Raw genomic sequence first — 19,072 nt, 5'->3', positions numbered from 1 at the left:
TGACGGTGGGTGGGGTGAGATGACAGTGGGTGGGGTGAGATGACAGTGGGTGGGGAGAGATGACAGTGGGTGGGGTGAGATGACAGTGGGTGGGGAGAGATGACAGTGGGTGGGGTGAGATGACAGCGGGTGGGGTGAGATGACGGTGGGGAGAGATGACAGTGGGTGGGGTGAGATGACAGTGGGTGGGGTGAGATGACAGTGGGTGGGGTGAGATCTCGGGTGAGATGACAGTGGGTTGGGAGAGATGACAGTGGGTGGGGGGAGATGACGGTGGGTGGGGGGAGATGACGGTGGGTGGGGTGAGATCTCGGGTGAGATGACAGTGGGTGGGGTGAGATGACAGTGGGTTGGGAGAGATGACGGTGGGTGGGGAGAGATCTCGGTGGGGTGAGATGACAGTGGGTGGGGAGAGATGACAGTGGGTGGGGGGAGATGACGGTGGGTGGGGTGAGATGACGGTGGGTGGGGTGAGATGACGGTGGGTGGGGTGAGATCTCGGTGGGTGGGGAGAGATGACGGTGGGTGGGGTGAGATGACGGTGGGTGGGGTGAGATGACGGTGGGGAGAGATGACGGTGGGTGGGGTGAGATCTTGGTGGGTGGGGAGAGATGACGGTGGGTGGGGTGAGATGACGGTGGGTGGGGAGAGATGACGGTGGGTGGGGTGAGATGACGGTGGGTGGGGTGAGATGATGGTGGGTGGGGTGAGATGACAGTGGGGTGAGATGACGGTGGGTGGGGTGAGATGACGGTGGGGTGAGATGACGGTGGGTGGGATGAGATGACGGTGGGTGGGGTGAGATGACGGTGGGTCGGGAGAGATGACAGTGGGTGGGGAGAAATGACGGTGGGTGGGGTGAGATCTCGGTGGGTGGGGTGAGATCTTGGTGGGTGGGGAGAGATGACAGTGGGTGGGGTGAGATGACGGCGGGTGGGGTGAGATCTCAGTGGGTGGGGAGAGATGACAGTGGGTGGGGTGAGATGACGGTGGGTGGGGTGAGATGACGGTGGGTGGGGAGAGATGACAGTGGGTGGGGAGAGATGACGGTGGGTGGGATGAGATGACGGTGGGTGGGGAGAGATGACGGTGGGTGGGATGAGATGACGGTGGGTGGGGAGAGATGACGGTGGGTGGGATGAGATGACGGTGGGTGGGGAGAGATGATGGTGGGTGGGGTGAGATCTCGGTGGGTGGGGTGAGATGACAGTGGGTGGGGTGAGATGACAGTGGGTGGGGTGAGATCTCGGTGGGGTGAGATGACAGTGGGTGGGGTGAGATGACGGTGGGTGGGGAGAGATGACGGTGGGTGGGGAGAGATGACGGTGGGTGGGGAGAGATGGTGGGTGGGGGGGAGATGACGGTGGGGGGGGAGAGATGGTGGGTGGGGTGAGATGACGGTGGGTGGGGTGAGATGACGGTGGGTGGGGAGAGATGACGGTGGGTGGGGTGAGATGACGGTGGGTGGGGAGAGATGATGGTGGGTGGGGTGAGATCTCGGTGGGGTGAGATCTCGGTGGGGTGAGATCTCGGTGGGTGGGGTGAGATATCGGTGGGTCGGGTGAGATCTCGCTGGGTGGGGTGAGATCTCGCTGGGTGGGGTGAGATTGCAGTTGGGAAGTGCTGAGTTCTGTCCTCTGTGTTTCCTCTGAGGACTTGACCTGTGAGGGGACAAGGCAGGAGTGGCTGTCCCTTAGCCACAGTGGAAGCTTCCAGTCAACCTCTGTTGAGTGTCTAGACCCAGCCCCAGCTGCTGCTCCCCTGTGGCACTCCTTTGACTGCCACCCCTCCCCACACTGGCTGCCCCCCTTCTCTGGCCGTGCAGCTGGGGCAGCAGCTCTGTGCAGGGGGGTCCTCCTGCCACCCTTCTGCCTGCCTCCCTCCCTTCAGGGAATGAGTGTGGGTCTGTGGCAGGGGGTTCTGCAGGGAACACAGTGCTGGAAAGAGCCTGCCTGGTGTCTGTGTTGTGGTGGAGGGTGGAGGCAACAGGGTAAAGGAGGAATGCTGTTTCCTGTGTCCTGGAGCTACATGAAGCTGGGAAGGGAGGTGACGCCTGGGAGGGGTGAAATTCTCAGTGGAGTGGCTGGGCTGGCCTCTGGGACATTCAAACATAGACCTCCTTGCACTTCGTCATGGGTGACAGCAGATGACCAGATGGGGCCTCCACAGGCAGGCAGGGGCCCGGCTGTTTCCTCATCCCCAGCACTGGATGGCCCGGTGGTTGAGTGAGGGGGGTGGACAGGCGGCCCCGGGGAACATGGTCTGTGGGATTCCAAGTCTCTTGTCTTTCTGAGCCCTCCCCAGAATCACCCTTAATGGTTCATTCATGGCAATGTAGGCGTTTTCTGGCAGGTACCCCCAAACTCTTCCAGTTCCAAAGCTGCTTCCACATTTTTAGGTACTTGTTACAGTAGCACCCCCACTTGGTACCAATTTCCTCTTAATACCATCGCCTGGGAGTTAGGATTTCAACACATAAATGTTGGGGGAACACATTCAGACCACAGCACCCCCTTCCTTTGAGTTACTGGTATCTTTTTGGGTGAGCCATTGAGAGGCAGGTGGAGCTGATCCATGGGGTGCCTGTCCTAGCCTCATGCCTGGTGTCCCTAACCAGGCAGTCACTGGAGGGGGACAAGCCCAGTGAAGGAGGCCAGTGAGGCTGCTACCCAACAGCTGTGTGCCATTGGGTGTATAGTGGGCCTCTCTGAACCTCAGTCTCTTCTTCTGTACAAGAAGGGTAGTGAATCTGGCCTCACAGTGTGGTTTTAAGGAGTGAGTGGGCTCCCAGCATTCTCACAGGCAGTGTGCCCTGGCTCCTAGTGAGGTGAAGACTAAGTGGGCTTGAGGCCCTCCCTTTGGCCAGAGCAGCTGTGCTCCTGCCTCTTGGTGTTTGGGTTCCCCTGAGATGTTTGTTGGAGAGGAGTCTTCCAGACCTCAGCTCATCTCTGAGCCTACTCCCTCTCCAAACACCTCCCATGGAGGAACGGATGCTGATTGGATTGGTGGAAGCTGAGTCACTGTTTGGGCTGCGTTTAGCAGTAGGCGTGGCCAGCAGGTGTGGTCGGTGGGCACAGTCACTGCATAAAAGGCCCCACCTCCCCACTTCTCGCTTCCTGGATCCCTGTGCTGACCAACAGGAAGAGGGACAGGTCCCGTGTGCCGGCCTGGGCTATAGGCAGGGCCTAGGTGACCTGGCTGGTCCACCTAGGATATATCTTGGGCTGATGTATCCTTCATTTCCTTCTCGCTGAAGCCAGGACCTCTCTCCTGCAGCCTCAGCTGGTCTAGCAAAGGTTCTGGATTGGTCGTGGTGGCTGGTGTTGGCCAGTTGGGGCCAATGTGAGATTATGGGGTCAGGCAGACCTCATTGCATTTAAGGCAGAACTCAGCTGTGAGCTGTGTGTTGGTGAGGAGACCGTTTGGTCACAGAGGCTTTTTTTTTTAACCTCCATATACCCTTTATATGTGAGCACTGTGGCCTATGGTGCCTGAGAACCCAAGACACCAAGCTTTTGGAACCTAAGTGTAGGGCACTGCTAGGTGGCACTAGCTTGGCCTCCTCCGATGAAGTCCTCCTCCTCTTTCTGTTTGGCACAGCATCTCCAGCCAGGGAGCGAGCTGTTTTGGGGGGCCCTTTGCCTCCACCGATGCCCCCACCACATGTTCTCAGCTCCTCTCCGACCTCAGTTCTTCCCTTTACCTACACTGGCCCCTGTGGAGCTCCTACGTGCGTGCCAGCAATGCCCAAATACCTCTCCCACCCACCTCCGGCCGTCTACTCGACGTGGCTAATGATGTTGAAAATGCCCCAAAACTGCAGTCCTCGCCTTCTGTCCCTCCCCCATCCCCCACCCCTGCCCTGTTTCCCTGCATCCTCCTCATCTGAGAATGAAGGCAACGGAGGCAGCGTGGGGCTGGTGTCCAACACAGCTGCCCAGGCTTGCCCTGCTGCATCTGGGCGGTGAAAGGAGGCCCCTCCAGATAGGACCCTTCCCCAAACATTTGCGCAGCTGCAGGGTGGCAGAAGCAGCAGACAGACACCCTGGGGCAGGCTGGGATCCAGGGCGGCGGGGCTGTGTCCCAGTGGGGATTATTTTCCCATGTGTTTAAAAGTTGAACCAGCCGTCTAGACCGTGCTCCTCAGCACTGAATGAGAGGGCCTGATTTGGGGTGGCTTTCTTTCTGCCATCTGGACGTCAGCCAGTGGCTCCTCTAAGGTACTTAGGCTTTCAAACGTGTCCTGGTCCAAGTCGCTAAACTACGTCACGCTCTGATTCTTCACTCCTTTACTTGAACGCCTCTTGGTTCCCCTGCCCTCAAGACCTTTTAAAAGTGCAGTCTGACCATGCTGCCCCTTATGGACAGTAGTGCACTACGTGTAAATGTTTAACGACTGCTCTGGATAAAAAGCCCCGATTGGCAGTGTTTGCCAATTTCCATGGTGTAAATCTGCCTGTCATGGCCAATTTCAAACTACCAATCTGAAGTCACTGACTATGCCGTGGGGAAGAGATCAATAGCACATCGTCACACAGGCTCTACTACACAGACGCACCACACAGAAATAACCTCAACGGCAGAGAAAACAATAAAGTATAGTAAAATGTTAGAAAGTTTTGAGTATTTATTACCTGTTTTTGAATATAATTTAATCTTTAATAATGGCTGTGCTTAACAACTGATCTGCAAAATTCCTGAAAATGTAATAGTCTGCTTGTGAGCCGGCACAAGCACACCCTGCTACAGGGTCAGACCCAGACTCCTGGGACAAAGCCTAAACAGGTGGCCCGCTGCTGTCCAGACTCACCCTCCTCCACAAGCCACGCCCCATGCCAGCTCCCTGGGTCCACTTGTGGGGCCCAGATGGACTCGCTGGTCTTTGCCCCTTCCACCCTCTGTCTGAGCCTCCCTCCCTTCATCCTTCCCTTTCTCTTTCTCACCCTCTCTTTACCTCTGAGTATGTATGGAGTCCACTGCTATGTGGCAGGGCTTTGCAAAGCCGGGGGATGCAAATGTGGCCTCCGCCCTCTGGAGCTGGGGTCCTCTCAGAGCCGGGTCTCCAGAACCATATGAAACTTCCAGATTTGGGTGAATAGGGAAGACTCCTTGGCTAGAGCTGTGAGGCCCTTTCTCAGCTGCTAACCCTACAGCAGCCCCCAGATAGGGCCCAGGACCCCCTCCGTCACCTGGACAATACCCTGTGTGTTTGCCTGCTCTCTGAGCCCACCCTGGGGCATGCATTTCCAACAGCTCAGAGGCGGAGCTCCTGGGCATATTCCCTTCCCAGATGGCCTGCATGACGACTTGGGGAGGTCCAGGACGGCTGTCCTTGGTGATCAGGAGCATGTGAGCACTGGTGGGGATGAGGGAGCCCAGAGGGTCCTACTACACACCCTGCACTGTAATAGTCTGCTTGTGAGCCGGCACAAGCACACCCTGCTACAGGGTCAGACCCAAACTCCTGGGACGAAACAAAGGACTTTCCTCTGTGCTGCACTGTGTGCACCCCTAGCACTTCAAATAAAAGTTTGGCACCTTATACAGGGAGATATTTTGCTAGAACATGAACTTAAATGCATGCAGTATCATACAGGTCGAACAGGAAGCAGTATGGGGGTGCACAGTGCAGCCTCTGGAGACAAGACCTGGGCTTGGTCCTGCCTCTAAGAGTCACTGCTGTGTGACCTCAGCCAAATTACTCAAATACTCTGAACCTCAGATTCTTCGGCTGTGTAAGGGCAACAACAAATACTTCATGGCTGGTTGTGAGAATTACTTGAGCTGACACAAGAAACATGCAACAGTGGCTTGCGTGTGCTGAATGGGCAGGAAGTTTTCTGCTGCGTAATTTGCGATACTAAAAGCAAAGATGATTATTGAGCGCCCTCTGGTGACCAAATGGTACAATTACACCTTAGATTGCGCCAAGCTGGATACTTTTTTATGCGGGGCTCAAGGACTCACAGGCCCTGCTGGTGGTGAATTGCCTGCGGCCCCTTCTTGCTCCATTTCAGTTCCTTGGCCCCGGCGGTAGGCAGCCTCCTCATTAAAGGGGAGGATTTCACGGGACAGGCATCTTCACTACACCTGTCCCGGGCTCTTCAGAACTAGCTCCTGTCTCTAATGCTCGAGGGGGATCATGGTCCAGCTAAGGAAGCTGGTCCCTGCTGCAGCTGGGCTGGGGACTGCCAGGGATTCGGGGGCCTTGGAAACGGAGACCACAGACCCTGCTGTGTGTGTGTGGCGCCAGACCCAGTCTTCATGTCTCCAGGTGAACCGCAGAGCCTCATTCTGGATTTTAAAAACCTAGTTGTTACTGGGCCTGCAGGTCGGCTGTATCCCTGCGGGTTCTCTGCAGCCCCTGCCCCTGTGGGCAGTCATGCTGTGTGCCAGGCACTGTGCTGGGTGCTGGGGATACGGCACAGCACCTGGGGCTTAGGTTAGAGGGGGAGATGGAGGGGGATTTGGGCGGGGACTTCTGGAGTCCTGTCCCAGGGTGTGCAGGCAGTGGGTGTAGAGGTCTCCTTCCCTTCCCCTAGCGCTTCCTCATGCACAAGGCCTGTGCTGACACCTGGGTCACTCTGCCATGTTCCCTGCGGCCTTGAACTTAGTGACAGCCAATATTTACCAGCTCTGTCCACGGGCCATGCGTGGTAGGCCTTTCCTCGAGCCCTCGAGATGGCCTTGCGAGGTCGGTACAACCTCCTGCCAGTACCATCCCCTCCATTCTGCGGAGGAGGAATCTGACCTGGAGAGGTCATGTCCACGGGCCAAGGGAAGTCAGGGTCAGGCTCTCAGAGCCCAGAAGCTCTCACCCCTCGGGCCGTGGTTCCTGCTGCCCCTGCCCAGCCCTTCCCTTTTTGCCGGGAAGCCTCCTCTCTTGGCCTGGGCCTCATGAATTTCCTCCTGAAGGGAGTTAGGGGCAGGAATCCGGCGCCAGCAGCTTCTCACTCCTCCCAGGGCTGCCTGTCAAGCTGGGGCAGAAGAGGAGGCCCTCGGGGCACGTGCCTCCGGCGCTGCCTGCAGCGGCCTCGCCCAGGAAGTGCGGCTCAGCGGGAGCTCGCCCCTGTCCCTGCCTCCGGGGCGGCGCCGCCACGGCCTGGGAAGGAGGCCGAGCCCCTGCTCCCGCGACCCCTGCATGGGCGGGGCAGGCCCCAGGCCCCAGCTGAGACCAGGCTCCCGCTTTTTCAAGGAACCGCCGCGCTGGGCCCTTCACCCACGTGCTTTCCCTGCGGCGGCTCAGCCTCCAGCAGGCCGGAGGGTGCGCGTCGGGTCCCGGCTCCTCCTGCGCTGGGGACAAGCGGCCCCGCGCCCCCTGTCACCCCACGGAGGCCTTCACCTCCCCATGCCCGGCCGCGGCGGACCGGGGGAACTGGGGGCGGGCCGCAGAGGAGGCTCGGGGCACGGCGTGGGCCCAGGGCCGGGCTCCAGGGAGGGCGAGGAGGACGGCACCCCCCGCCGGCTGCGGTCGCGGCTCGTCCAGGTTCAGGCTTCGGCTGCTCCCGGAAGCCCCTGGCGGGGAGCGGCCGCCTGCGGGGAGATCTCGCGCCCCGGCCGCAGGGCTGCACATGGACGCCGGGACCTGCGCCTCCTCCAGCCCCGGCCCGCAGGGTCCTGGCTTGGGCACCGCCCTCTCTCTCCCCAGGGCCCAGCTCGAGGGGCTCACCCGTGGTGAATATGCGCCGGTCACAGAGCACGGGGCAGCCATAGAGGCCACACTGTCACCTCTGGGGACTGGACAAAAATGTCCAAATCCACGGAAAAATGAGATGCCCAAATAATCTCTCATAATTCTTCACGTTAACATTTTGCCTTCTTTTGTCACGTTCGTTCTCTGTCACTCTTTTTATATATGTACCTTCCCCCCACAACCCACTGGAAAGTAATATTCAGACATTGTGACACTTCACTTCTATATAAATTTCCCCTTAAGCATTTACAGCATTAAATATAGAACATTAAAGATAGAACATTAAAGCTCTGTATTAGAAACAAAGAAAGGTCTCTCATCAAATATCTAAGCTTCTACATTAAGAAACTAGGAAAAGAAGAGCAACAGAAGTCCAAAGCAAACAGAAAGCAGGACATAATACATATAAGGCCGGATGCAGTGGCTCACGCCTGTGATCCCAGCACTTTGGGAGGCTCGAGGCGGGCGGATCACCTGAGGTCAGGAGTTCGAGACCAGCCTGGCCAACATGGCAAAACCCGTCTCTACTAAGAATAAAAAAATTAGCCAGGTGTGGTGGTGGGCGCCTGTAATCCCAGCTACTCGAGTGGCTGAGGCAGGAGAATCACTTCAACCCTGGAGGCAGAGGTTGTAGTGAGCCGAGATTGTGCCACTGCACTCCAGCCTGGGCAACAGAGTGAGACTCTGTCTTAAACAAAAACAAAAAAAAACCCCAAGTTAGTTGGGCACGATGGCACACTCCTATAACCCCAGCTACTCAGGTGGCTGAGGCAGGAGAATCACTGGAACCCAGGAGGCGGCAGTTGCAGTGAGCTGAGATCGTGCCATCGCACTCCAGCCTGGGCAACAGAGCAAGACCCTGTCTCAAAAACAAAACAAAACAAAACAAAACAAAAACCACCAAAAAACAAACAGAAAAACCATATGAGAGCAGAAACTAACTCAATTGAAAACAAAAGAGAAAACTTTTCTAAAAACATCTTTACTATTTACATCTACAATCTGTCTAGAATAGATTGTGATACAGGATAAGCAAGCCCCCAAATTGGGGCTTAGCCCTGGGGGGTTCCTGGCTTCCTCCAGGTAAGAATTCAAGGGTGAGCTGGTGGTGTTAGCCAGCAACGTTTATTGAAGCAGCAATGCACAGCAGTGGCAGAGGGACTGCCCCTTGCAGAGCAGGGCCACCCCTTAGACAGTGAGCCCAGAGCAGCAGCTCAGAGGCAGGTCTGCACTCATATTTATACCCATGCTTAATTATATGCAAATTAAGGGGTAGTTTATACAGAGATTTCTAGGATGAGAGCGGTAACTTCTGGGTTATCAGGTTGTTGCTACGGAAAGGGGTGGTAAATCCCTGGTGTTGCCATGGCAATGGTACACTGGCGTGGCACACTGGTGGGTGTGTCTTATGTGGAGGTGCTTTGGCCCTAGACCTGTTTTAGCTAGTCCTCAATTTGGTCTGGTGTCTGAGCCTCACCTCCAGAGTCTAATACCACCTCCTACCTCAATTGTTAGACATGATTTGAGTTAGGGGGTGAAGATACCTTTTTTTTTTTTCCCAAATATATATCCAATTAACACCAGCATTTACTGACAAGACCCTCACATCTCCAGTGTTCTCCTGTGTCCTTGTCATAAATCAGGGGATTGTATATTTTCGAATCAGTTTCTAAACTCTTTTTCTGTTGGTTTATATTTCTACCTTTGTACCAATATCACAGTGTCTTAATTACCTTCAGTTTTCTCCTTCTCATCCTCATCGTCTGCCTCCTCCTTCTTCAGGATCACCTTGGTTATTCTCAGCCTTTGCATTTTCATACACATTTTAGAGTTAGGTTATCATTTTCCACCAAAAGCGACTTCTCCTGGGAATTGGATGTGATTATATGAAATATTTAAATGATTTTGGGGAGAATTTCACATCTAAAAATAATGAGCCTTTCAATGATTAACATAGTATATATTCTTTATTTATTTAGGGTTTAATTTCCCTTAATAGTGTTTTGTAGTTTTCAGCATAGAAGTCTTATACATCTTTCATTATATTCATTCACCTAAGAGTGTTTTATGTTTTTCAAAAGCTTTTCTAAGTTTCTAACATTTGTTGCTGGCATGTAGAAATACAAGTGATTTTTGTATATTGACCTTGTATACGGCAATGCTGCTAAATGCACTTATTACTGAAAATCATTTATTGGTAGGTTCATTTGGATTTTCTAATAACACAATCATGTTATTTGCAAATAATAACAGTTTTATAGTTTTCTTTTCTACGTGGATGCCTTTCATCTCCATTCTTTGTCCTTCTACACTGACTAAGACCTTCAATACAATATTGAATAGAGGTGGTGATAATGGACATCTTTGTCTTGTTCTTGGTTTCAGGGAGAAAACTTTCAACATTTTACCAATTCCTATGATGGTTTCTGTAGACTTCTTTTTCAGATCATGGAAGTGTTATTTTATTCTTAGTTTTCTAAGAGTTTTTAATCATTAATTTTGTTAAATGCCTTCTCTGCATCTATTGAGATAATCATGGGAGTTTTCTCATTTTTTTCTTTCTGTGAATATGGTGTATTAGTTAGGGTTTTTCAGAGAGAAACAGAACTAATAGGATAGGTAGATAGAGAGATATAGATAGATAGATATAGGTATAGGTGGATAGATATAGATAGGTAGGTAGATAGATAGATAGATAGATAGATAGATAATTAGTCTATTTTCATTCTGCTGATGAAGACATACCTGAGACTGGGCAATTTACAAAAGAAAGAGGTTTATTGGACTTACTGTTCCACATGGCTGGGGAGGCCTCACAATCCTGGAGGAAGGCAAGGAGGAGCAAGTCACATTTTATGTGGATGGCAGCAAACAAAGAGAGAGAGCTTGTGCAGGACAACTCCTGTTTTCAAAACCATCAGATCTCATGAGACTCATTCACTATCATGAAACAGCATGGGAAAGACCTGCCCCATAATTCAATCATCTCCCACTGCGTACCTCCCACAACACGTGGGAATTATGGGAGCTACAATATGAGATTTTGGTGGGGACACAGAGCCAAACCATATCATTCTGCCCCTAGATACAATGAAGGTATAGGCACTGGGTAAATACAACCATTCCAAATGGGAGAAATTGGCCAAAACAGAGAGGCTACAGGCCCCATGCAAGTCCAAAATCCAGCATGGCAGTCAAATCTTAAAGCTCCAAAATGATCTCCTTTGAGTCCACGTCTTACATCCAGGTCATGTGGATGCAAGAGGTAGGTTCCCATAGTCTTCAGCAGCTCCGCCCCTTTGCAGGGTGCAGCCTCCCTCCTGGCTGCTTTCATGGGCTGGTGTTGAGTGTCTGCAGCTTTTCCAGGCACATGGTGCAAGCTGTCAGTAGATCTACCATTCTGGGATCTGGAGGATGGTGGCCCTCTTCTCACAGCTCCACTAGGCAGTGCCCTGGTAGGGCTACAAGATGAGATTTGGGCAGGGACACAGAGCCAAACCATATTAGATAGATAGATAGATAGATAGATAGTTAGATAGATATAGATTTGCTATAAGGAATTGGCTCATGTGATAATGGAGGCTGAGAAGTCCCAAGATTTGCAGTGGGCAAGGTGGAGAACCAGGAGAGCTGCTGATCCAAAGGCCAGCAGCCTCAAGACCTAAGAAGAGTTATGTTTCTCTCTGAGCCCAAAAGCCTGCAAGACCAATGTCTCAGGTCAACAAGTCTGGTAGGAGGCATTCCCTCTTACTCAATCTTTTTATTCTACTTAAGTCTTCAGTTGATTGGGTGAGGTCCACCCACATTGGGGAGGGCAATCTGTTGTGCTCAGTCTACTGATTGAAATGTTAATCTCATCCAGAAACACCCTCACAGACATACTTAGAATAATGTTTGGCTAAATATCTGAGCCACCTGTGGCTCAGTCAAGTTGATACATAAAATTAACCATCACAAGTAGTGAATTACTCTGATTTTTTTTTTTAGATTTACAGAGAAGTTGCAAAGATGACACAAAGAGTTTCTCATATGCCCTTCATTCAGTTTCCCCTATTGCTTTTTATATCTTATTCATTTATCTTTATTTTTAATTTTTGTGGGTACATAGCAGTGTATGTATCTATGCGGTACATGAGATATTTTGATACAGGCATGCAATTTGTAATAATCACATCAGGGGAAATGGGGTGTTCATCACTTCAAGCATTTATCATTTTTTTGGTGTTACAAACAATCCAATTATACTCTTTTAGTTATTTTAAAAATATTTAATACATTATTGTTGACTTTAGTCACCCTGTTGTGCTATCAAATACTATATCTTATTCATTCTATCTGAATATATCTTTGTACTCCTTAACTGTCCCTACCCTCCACCCCTTTCTACCCTTCCCAGCCTCCAGTAACCATCATTCTACTCTCATCTCCATGAATTCCATGGTTTTAATTTTTAGCTCCCACAAATGAGTGAGAACATGTAAAGCTTGTCTTTCTGTGCCTGGCTTATTTTACTTAACATAATGTCCTCCATTTCCATCCATGTGGTTGCAAATGACAGAATCTCATTCTTTTCTATGGCTGAATAGTACTCCATTGTGCATATGTACCACATTTTATTTATTCTTTTGTTGATGGACACCTCGGTTCCAAATCTTGGATATTGTGAATAGTGCTGCAATGCATGAGAGTGCAGACATCTCTTTGATTTACTGATTTACTTTCTTTTAGGTATATCCCTATCAGTGGGATTGCTGGATCCTATGGTAGTTCTATTCTTAGTTTTCTTTTTGTTTTTTGATTATTTTTTTCTTTTTTGGGATGGAATCTCGTTCTGTTGCCCAGGGTGGAGTGCAGTGGTATGATCTTGGCTCACTGCAACCTCCACCTCCCAGGTTCAAGAGATTCTCCTGCCTCAGCCTCCTGAGTAGCTGGGATCACAGGCACGCACCGCCATGCCCGGCTATTTTTTGCATTTTTAGTAGAGACAGGGTTTCGTTGTGTTGGCCACGCTGGTCTCGAACTCCTGACCTCAGGTGATCCACCCGCCTTGGCCTCCCAAAGTGCTGGGATTGCAGGCAGGAGCCACTGCGCCCTGTCTATTTTTAGTTTTCTGAGGAAGCTCCATGTTGTTTTCCAAGTGGCTGCACTAATTTACATTCCCACCAACAGTGTACGAGGGTTCCCTTTCTCAACACTCCAGCATTCATTATTTCCTGCCTTTTAGATAAAAGCTATTTTAACTAGTATGAGATGATGTCTCATTGGAGTTTTGATTTGTGTTTCCCTGATGATCAGTGATGTTGAGCACCTGTTCACATAGCTGTTTGCCATTTGGATGTATTCTTTTGAGAAATGTCTATTCAATCTTTTGCCCATTTTAAATCAAATTGTTAGATTTTTTTTCCTATTGAATTGTTTGAGCTCCTTATATATTCTGGTTATTAATCCCTTGTCAGATGGATAGTTTGCAAATATTTTCTCTCATTCTGTGGATTGTCTCTTCACTTTGTTGCTAGTTTCCTTTGCTATGCAGAAGCTTTTTAATGATGTGATTTTTTAAAATGTGATTCCATTTGTCCATTTTTTGCTTCGGTTGCCTGTGCCTGTGAAGTATTACTCAAGAAATCTTTGTTCGTACCAATGTCCTGGAGAGTTTCTCCTATGTTTTCTTTTAGTAGTTTCATAGTTTCAGGTTTTAGATTTAAGTCTTTAATCCATTTTGATTTGATTTTTGTGTATGGTGAGAGAGCGATCTGGTTTCATTCTTCTGCATATGAACATCCAGTTTTCCCAGCACAATTTACTGACGAGACAATCCCTTTCTCAATACATGTTCTTGAAAGCTTTGTTGAAAATGAGTTCACTGTGGCTGTATGGATTTATTTCTGGGTTCTCTATTCTGTTCCATTGGTCTATGTGTCTGTTTTTATGTCAGTACCATCCTGTTTTTGTTACTTCATTGCTATAGCTCTGTAGTATAATTTAAAATCAGGTAATGGGATTCCTCCAGTTTTTTTTTTTTTTTTTTTTTCCTCATGATGGTTCTGACTGTTCTGGGCCTTTTGTGGTCCCATATAAATTTTAGGATTTTTTTTCTATTTCTGTGAGGAATTTCATTAGTACTTTAATAGAGATTGCACTGAATCTGTAGATTGCTTTGGGTAGCATGGACATTTTAATAATATTGATTCTTCTAATCCATGAACATGGAATATCTTTCCATTTTTTGGTGTCCTCTTCAATATCTTGCATAAAAGTTTTTATTGTAAAGATTTTTCACTTCCTTGGTTAAGTTTATTCCTAGGTATTTTGTTTAATTTGTAGCTATTGTAAATGGGATTACTTTCTTGATTTCTTTTTCAGATTGTTTGCTGTTAGCATATAAAAATGCTACTGATTTTTGTATGTTGATTTTGTATTCTGCAACTTTACTAAATTTGTTTATCAGTTCTAATAGCCTTTTGGTGGAGTCTTTCGTTTTTTTCAAGTATAAGATCATATTATCTGCAAATAAAAATAATTTCACTTCTTCCTTTCCATTTTGAATGCCTTTTATTTCTTTCTTTTGTCTGATTACTCTAGCTAGGACTTCCAGTACTATGTTGAATAACAGCGATGAAAGTGGGCATCCTTGTCTTGTTCCAGATCTTAGAGAAAAGGCTTTCATTTTTCCGCATTCACTATGATATTAGTATGATCAACTTATATATATATATATATATATATATATATATATATATATATATATATATACATATATATTATATATGAAAGTTGAAGGATGCAAAAACTGGGTATAGAAGGAACATATCTCAACATGAAAGCCATGCTTTTTATTGTGTTGAGGCATGTGCCTTTTATACCCAGTTTTTGAGTTTTTTTTTTCAAATCATGAAAGGATATGGAATTTTATCAAATGCTTTTTCAGCATCAGTTGAAATGATCATATGGTTTTTCTCCTTTATTATGCTGATATGATCTATCACATCGATTGACCTGTGTATGTTGTTCCATGCATGCAGTCTTGGGATAAATCCCACTTGGTCATGATGAATGATCTTTTTAATGTGCTGCTGAATTTGTTTGCTGGTATTGTGTTGAGTATTTTCGCATCAATGTTCATTGGGGATATTGGCCTGTAATTTTCTTTTTTTCATGTGTCTTTGTCTGGTTTTCATATCAGGGTAATACTGGCCTCATAGAATGAGTTTGGAAGTATTCTCTCTTCCTCTGTTTTTTGGAATACTTTGAGTAGGATTGGTATTAGTTCTTCTTTAAATGTTTGGTAAGATTTAGCAGTGAAGCCATTGGGTCCTGGGTTTTGCTTTGCTCGGAGATTTTTTTTTTATTATTACGGCTTTGATCTCATTACTTGTTATTGATCTATTCACATTTTGGATTTCTTCATGGCTCAATCTTTGTAGATTGTATGTGTCTAGGAACTTATCCATTTCTTCTAGGTTTTTCAATTTATTGGCATATAGTTGATCATAGTAGTCTCTAATCATCCTTTGAATTTCTGCGGTATCAGGTGTAATGTCTCCTTTTTCATCTCTGATTTTATTTATTTGGGTCATCTTTCTTTTTTTCTTAGTCTGGTTAAGGGTTTGTTGGTTTTGTTTATCTTTTCAAAAAGCCAACTTTTTGTTTTATTGATCTTTTGTACATTTTTTATTTCAATTTCATTTATTTCTGCTCTGATTTTTATTCTTTCTTTCTTCTACTAATTTTGGGTTTGTTTGCTCTTGCTTTTGCAGTTCTTTAAGATGCAATATTAGGTTGTTTATTTGAAATTTTTCTGCTTTTTTGATGTAGGTGCTTATTGCTGTAAACCCTCCTTTGAGTATTGTTTTGGCTGTATCCCATAGGTTTTGGTATGTTGTGTTTCTATTGTCATTTCTTCAAGAAAATTTTAAATTTTCATCTTAATTTCTTCATTGACCTGCTGGTCATTCAAGAACATATTGTTTAATTTCCATGTGTTTGTACAGTTTCCAAAGTTTCTCTTGTTATTGATTTCTAGTTTTGTTCCATTGTGGGCAGAGAATATACTTGATATAATTTCAGTTTCTTTGAAATTTTAAAGATTTGTTTTGTAACCTAACATATGGTCTATCATTGAGCATGATCCATGTGCTGAGGAGAAGAGTGTGTATTCTGGAGCTATTGGATGATATGTTCTGTAAATATCTGTTAGGTTCTTCTGTTCTATGGTGCAGATTAAGTCTGATGTTTGTTTGTTGATTTTCTCTCTGGATGATCTGTCCAATGCTGAAAGTGGGGCATTAAAGTCTCCAGCTATTATTGTATTGGGGTCTATCTCTCTCTTTAGATCTAATAATATTTGCTTTATATATCTTGAGGCTCCAGTGTGGGGTGTATATATATTTGCAACTGTTATATCCTCATGCTGCATTGCCCCTATCATTATATAGTAAACTTCATCTCTTTTTATAGATTTTTGTCTTGATATTATTTAATCTGATAGAAGTATAGCTACTGCTACCCTTTTTTTGGTTTCCATTTGCATGGAACATCTTTTTCCATCCCTTTATTTTCAGTCTATATGTGTCCTTATGTGTGTTTCTTGTAGGCAACAGATCATTGGGTCTTGTTTTTATAAAATCCATTCAGCTACTCTGTGTGTTTTGATTAACGAGTTTAGCCCATTTACATTCAATGGTGTTATGGATAAGTAAGGACTTATTACTGCCATTTTGTTACTTGTTTTCTGGTTGTTTTGGGGTCTTCTCTTCCTTCCTGTCTTCCTTTTTGTGAAGGTGATTTTCTCTGGTGGTATGTTTTAATTTCTTGATTTTTGTGTATCTGTTGTAGGTGTTTTGATTTGAGATTACCATAAGGCTTGCAAAAAACATCTTAAAAGCCGTTATTTTAAACTGATGACAACACTAATTGCAAAAACAAACTAACAAATAGGCAAAGAGAAAATGAATAAAAACTACACTTTAACTTCATCCCCCCTACGTTTAAACTTTTTTTCTATTTATATTTTATTATACTGTCTGTATCTTAAAAAGTTGTTGTAGTTATTATTTTTGATAGGTTCATCTTTTTGTCTTTCTACTCAAGATATGAGTAGTTTACATACCATAATTACAGTGTTATAATACTGTGTGTTTGTGTACAATATTAAGAATATTACCAATAAGTTTTGTACCTTCAGATAATTTCTTATTGTTAATGTCCTCTTCTTTCAGATTGAAGAACTCCCCTTAACATTTCTTGTAGGACAGGTCTGGTATTGATGACATCCCTTGGCTTTTGTTTGCCTGGGAAAGTATTTCTTCTTGATGTTTGAAGGATATTTTTGCTGGATTTACTATCCAAGATAAAAGTTTCTTCAGCACTTTAAATATGTCATGCCACTCTCTCCTGGCCTGTAAGTTTTCCACTGGGAAGTCTGCTACCAGATGTATTGGAGCTCCTTTGTATGTTATTTGTTTCTTTTCTCTTGCTGCTTTTAGGATCCTTTCATTATCCTTCACATTTGGGAGTTTGATTATTAAATGTCTTGAAGTAGTCTTATTTTGGCTAAATTGGCCTGGTGTTCTATAACCTTCTTGTACTTGACTATGGATATATTACAGTAGATTGGGAAAGTTCTTTATTATTATCCCTTTGAGTAAACTTTCTATCCTAATCTCTCTACTTCCTCTTTAAGGTCAATAACTTAGATTTTCCGTTTTGAGGCTATCTTCTACATCTTGTAAGCATGCTTCATTCTTTTTTATTCTTTTTTCTTTTGTCTCCTCTGACTATTTTCAAACAGCCTGTCTTCAAGCTCACTAATTCTTCCTGCTTGATCAATTCTGCTCTTGAGAGACTCTGATGCACTCTGCAGTATGTCAGTTGAATTTTTCAGCTTCAGGATTTCTGCTTGATTTTTAAAAATTATTTCAATTTGTTGGTTACATTTATGATAGGATTCTGAATTCCTTCTCTGTGTTATCTTGACTTTTGTTGTGTTTCCTCAAAACAACTATTTTTAATTCTCTGTCATATATGTCTGTTACTCTAGAATTGGTCATTGGTGTCTTATTTAGTTCATTTGGTAATGTCATGTTTTCCTAGATGTTCATTGATGTCCACCTCGGCCTCCCAAAGTGCTGAGATTACAGACATGAGCCACTATGCCTGCCAGCCTCCCTCCCCTTTTTCCTATTGGGAATATCCAAAACTTGTTGCAGAAAGAATTATCTTTTAACATAAACAAATATGTGCATGGTATCATTCAGATCACTTACCCTAATCTTTGAACAACGTTTGAGGTAGTAAAAAGCTGTGAGATGAAAGAAATCAGAGTTTCAGATCTTCCATAGTGACATGGCTAGACAGGCAGAATATAGGTTTCCAAATACAGATGCTAGCTCTGAAGTGTGTGCTCCTAACCATCACATTAGGCCACCTCTCTTGAAGCCATTACTCTTTACAAAGAAGTATTCTAGGGATTATATAGAGCATCTCCATCTAAAAAAGTTTTTGTTCAAGTGTTACATGTATAAAGCTACACAAGATACAGGTGTACAGTTTGATGGATTTTATTAAATAGACACACTTCTGTAACCAGCATGCAGATCAAGAAAGATAATAATTACCAAACCACCAGGGGCCCCACTTAAGCCATCTTATGGTTTTTAAACCTCCCAAAGGGTGATCTCTCTATAGATGTCTAACACTACAGATTATTATATAATAATTTTGTCTGTTTGAACTTTTCATAAATAGAATAATTTTGTACGTACTCTTCTGTCTTCTTCTCTCAATACCATTGGTTTGAGATTTGTCCATATTGTGTGTAGTTGCATTTTGTTGGTTCTCATTGCTGAATACTATTGCATTGTGCAAGTAGAACACTATTTATTCATCCTTCAGCAGATAGACATCTGTTCAGTGCCTAGGTAGTAGGGCTAACATGCAGAGTTTCATATACATGTCATGTAAGTCAAGCTTGCTGATTTGTTGCTTAGCTCTCATATCTTTACTTATTTTTTGGTTTGTTTTGGTAGTTATAGCAGTTTTTTTTTTTTGAGACAGGATCTTGCTCTGTCACCCAGGCTAGAGTGCAGTGGCATGATCTTGGCTCACTGCAGCCTCCACCTCCCAGGTTTGAGCAATTCTTGTGCTTCAGCCTCCCGAGTAGCTGGACTACAGGCATGTGCTACCACGCCCAGCTAATTTTTTGTATTTTTAGTAGACAGGGATTCACCACATTGCCCAGGCTGATCTTGAACTCCTGACCTCAAGTGATCCACTTGCCTCGGCCTCCTGAAGTGCTGGGATTACAGGTGTGAGCCACTGCGCCTGGCCGTTACAGCAGTTTTAAAATCTTATATTCTGATAATGAATTTGTCTATTTTT

At 46.0% G+C, this 19,072-nt stretch overlaps 1 long non-coding RNA gene across 1 annotated transcript in view, besides 4 other annotated features; it reads left to right on the top strand.

Moving 5' to 3' along the window:
• The window catches only part of LINC02320 (long intergenic non-protein coding RNA 2320), a 102,958-nt gene that overhangs the window by 17,939 nt on the left and 65,947 nt on the right, over positions 1-19,072 (top strand). The window lies entirely within an intron of this gene.
• Positions 4,909-5,679: an enhancer, noted in NCBI's record as "H3K4me1 hESC enhancer chr14:102174026-102174796 (GRCh37/hg19 assembly coordinates)". NCBI's record gives its function as "activates a minimal SCP1, AML or CMV promoter by ChIP-STARR-seq in naive H9 embryonic stem cells {active_cell/tissue: H9 hESC(naive)}" and the evidence as "EXISTENCE:reporter gene assay evidence [ECO:0000049][PMID:30033119]".
• Positions 7,086-7,355: a silencer, noted in NCBI's record as "silent region_6095". NCBI's record gives its function as "represses an Ori minimal core promoter by ATAC-STARR-seq in GM12878 lymphoblastoid cells {active_cell/tissue: GM12878}" and the evidence as "EXISTENCE:reporter gene assay evidence [ECO:0000049][PMID:35858748]".
• Positions 7,366-7,485: a silencer, noted in NCBI's record as "silent region_6094". NCBI's record gives its function as "represses an Ori minimal core promoter by ATAC-STARR-seq in GM12878 lymphoblastoid cells {active_cell/tissue: GM12878}" and the evidence as "EXISTENCE:reporter gene assay evidence [ECO:0000049][PMID:35858748]".
• Positions 7,566-7,625: a silencer, noted in NCBI's record as "silent region_6093". NCBI's record gives its function as "represses an Ori minimal core promoter by ATAC-STARR-seq in GM12878 lymphoblastoid cells {active_cell/tissue: GM12878}" and the evidence as "EXISTENCE:reporter gene assay evidence [ECO:0000049][PMID:35858748]".

Source organism: Homo sapiens, chromosome 14, assembly GCF_000001405.40.
Source record: "Homo sapiens chromosome 14, GRCh38.p14 Primary Assembly".
Lineage (NCBI taxonomy): Eukaryota > Metazoa > Chordata > Mammalia > Primates > Hominidae > Homo > Homo sapiens.
Note: the sequence above shows the minus strand (reverse complement) of the source record. Positions and strands in the feature narration are given on the sequence as shown.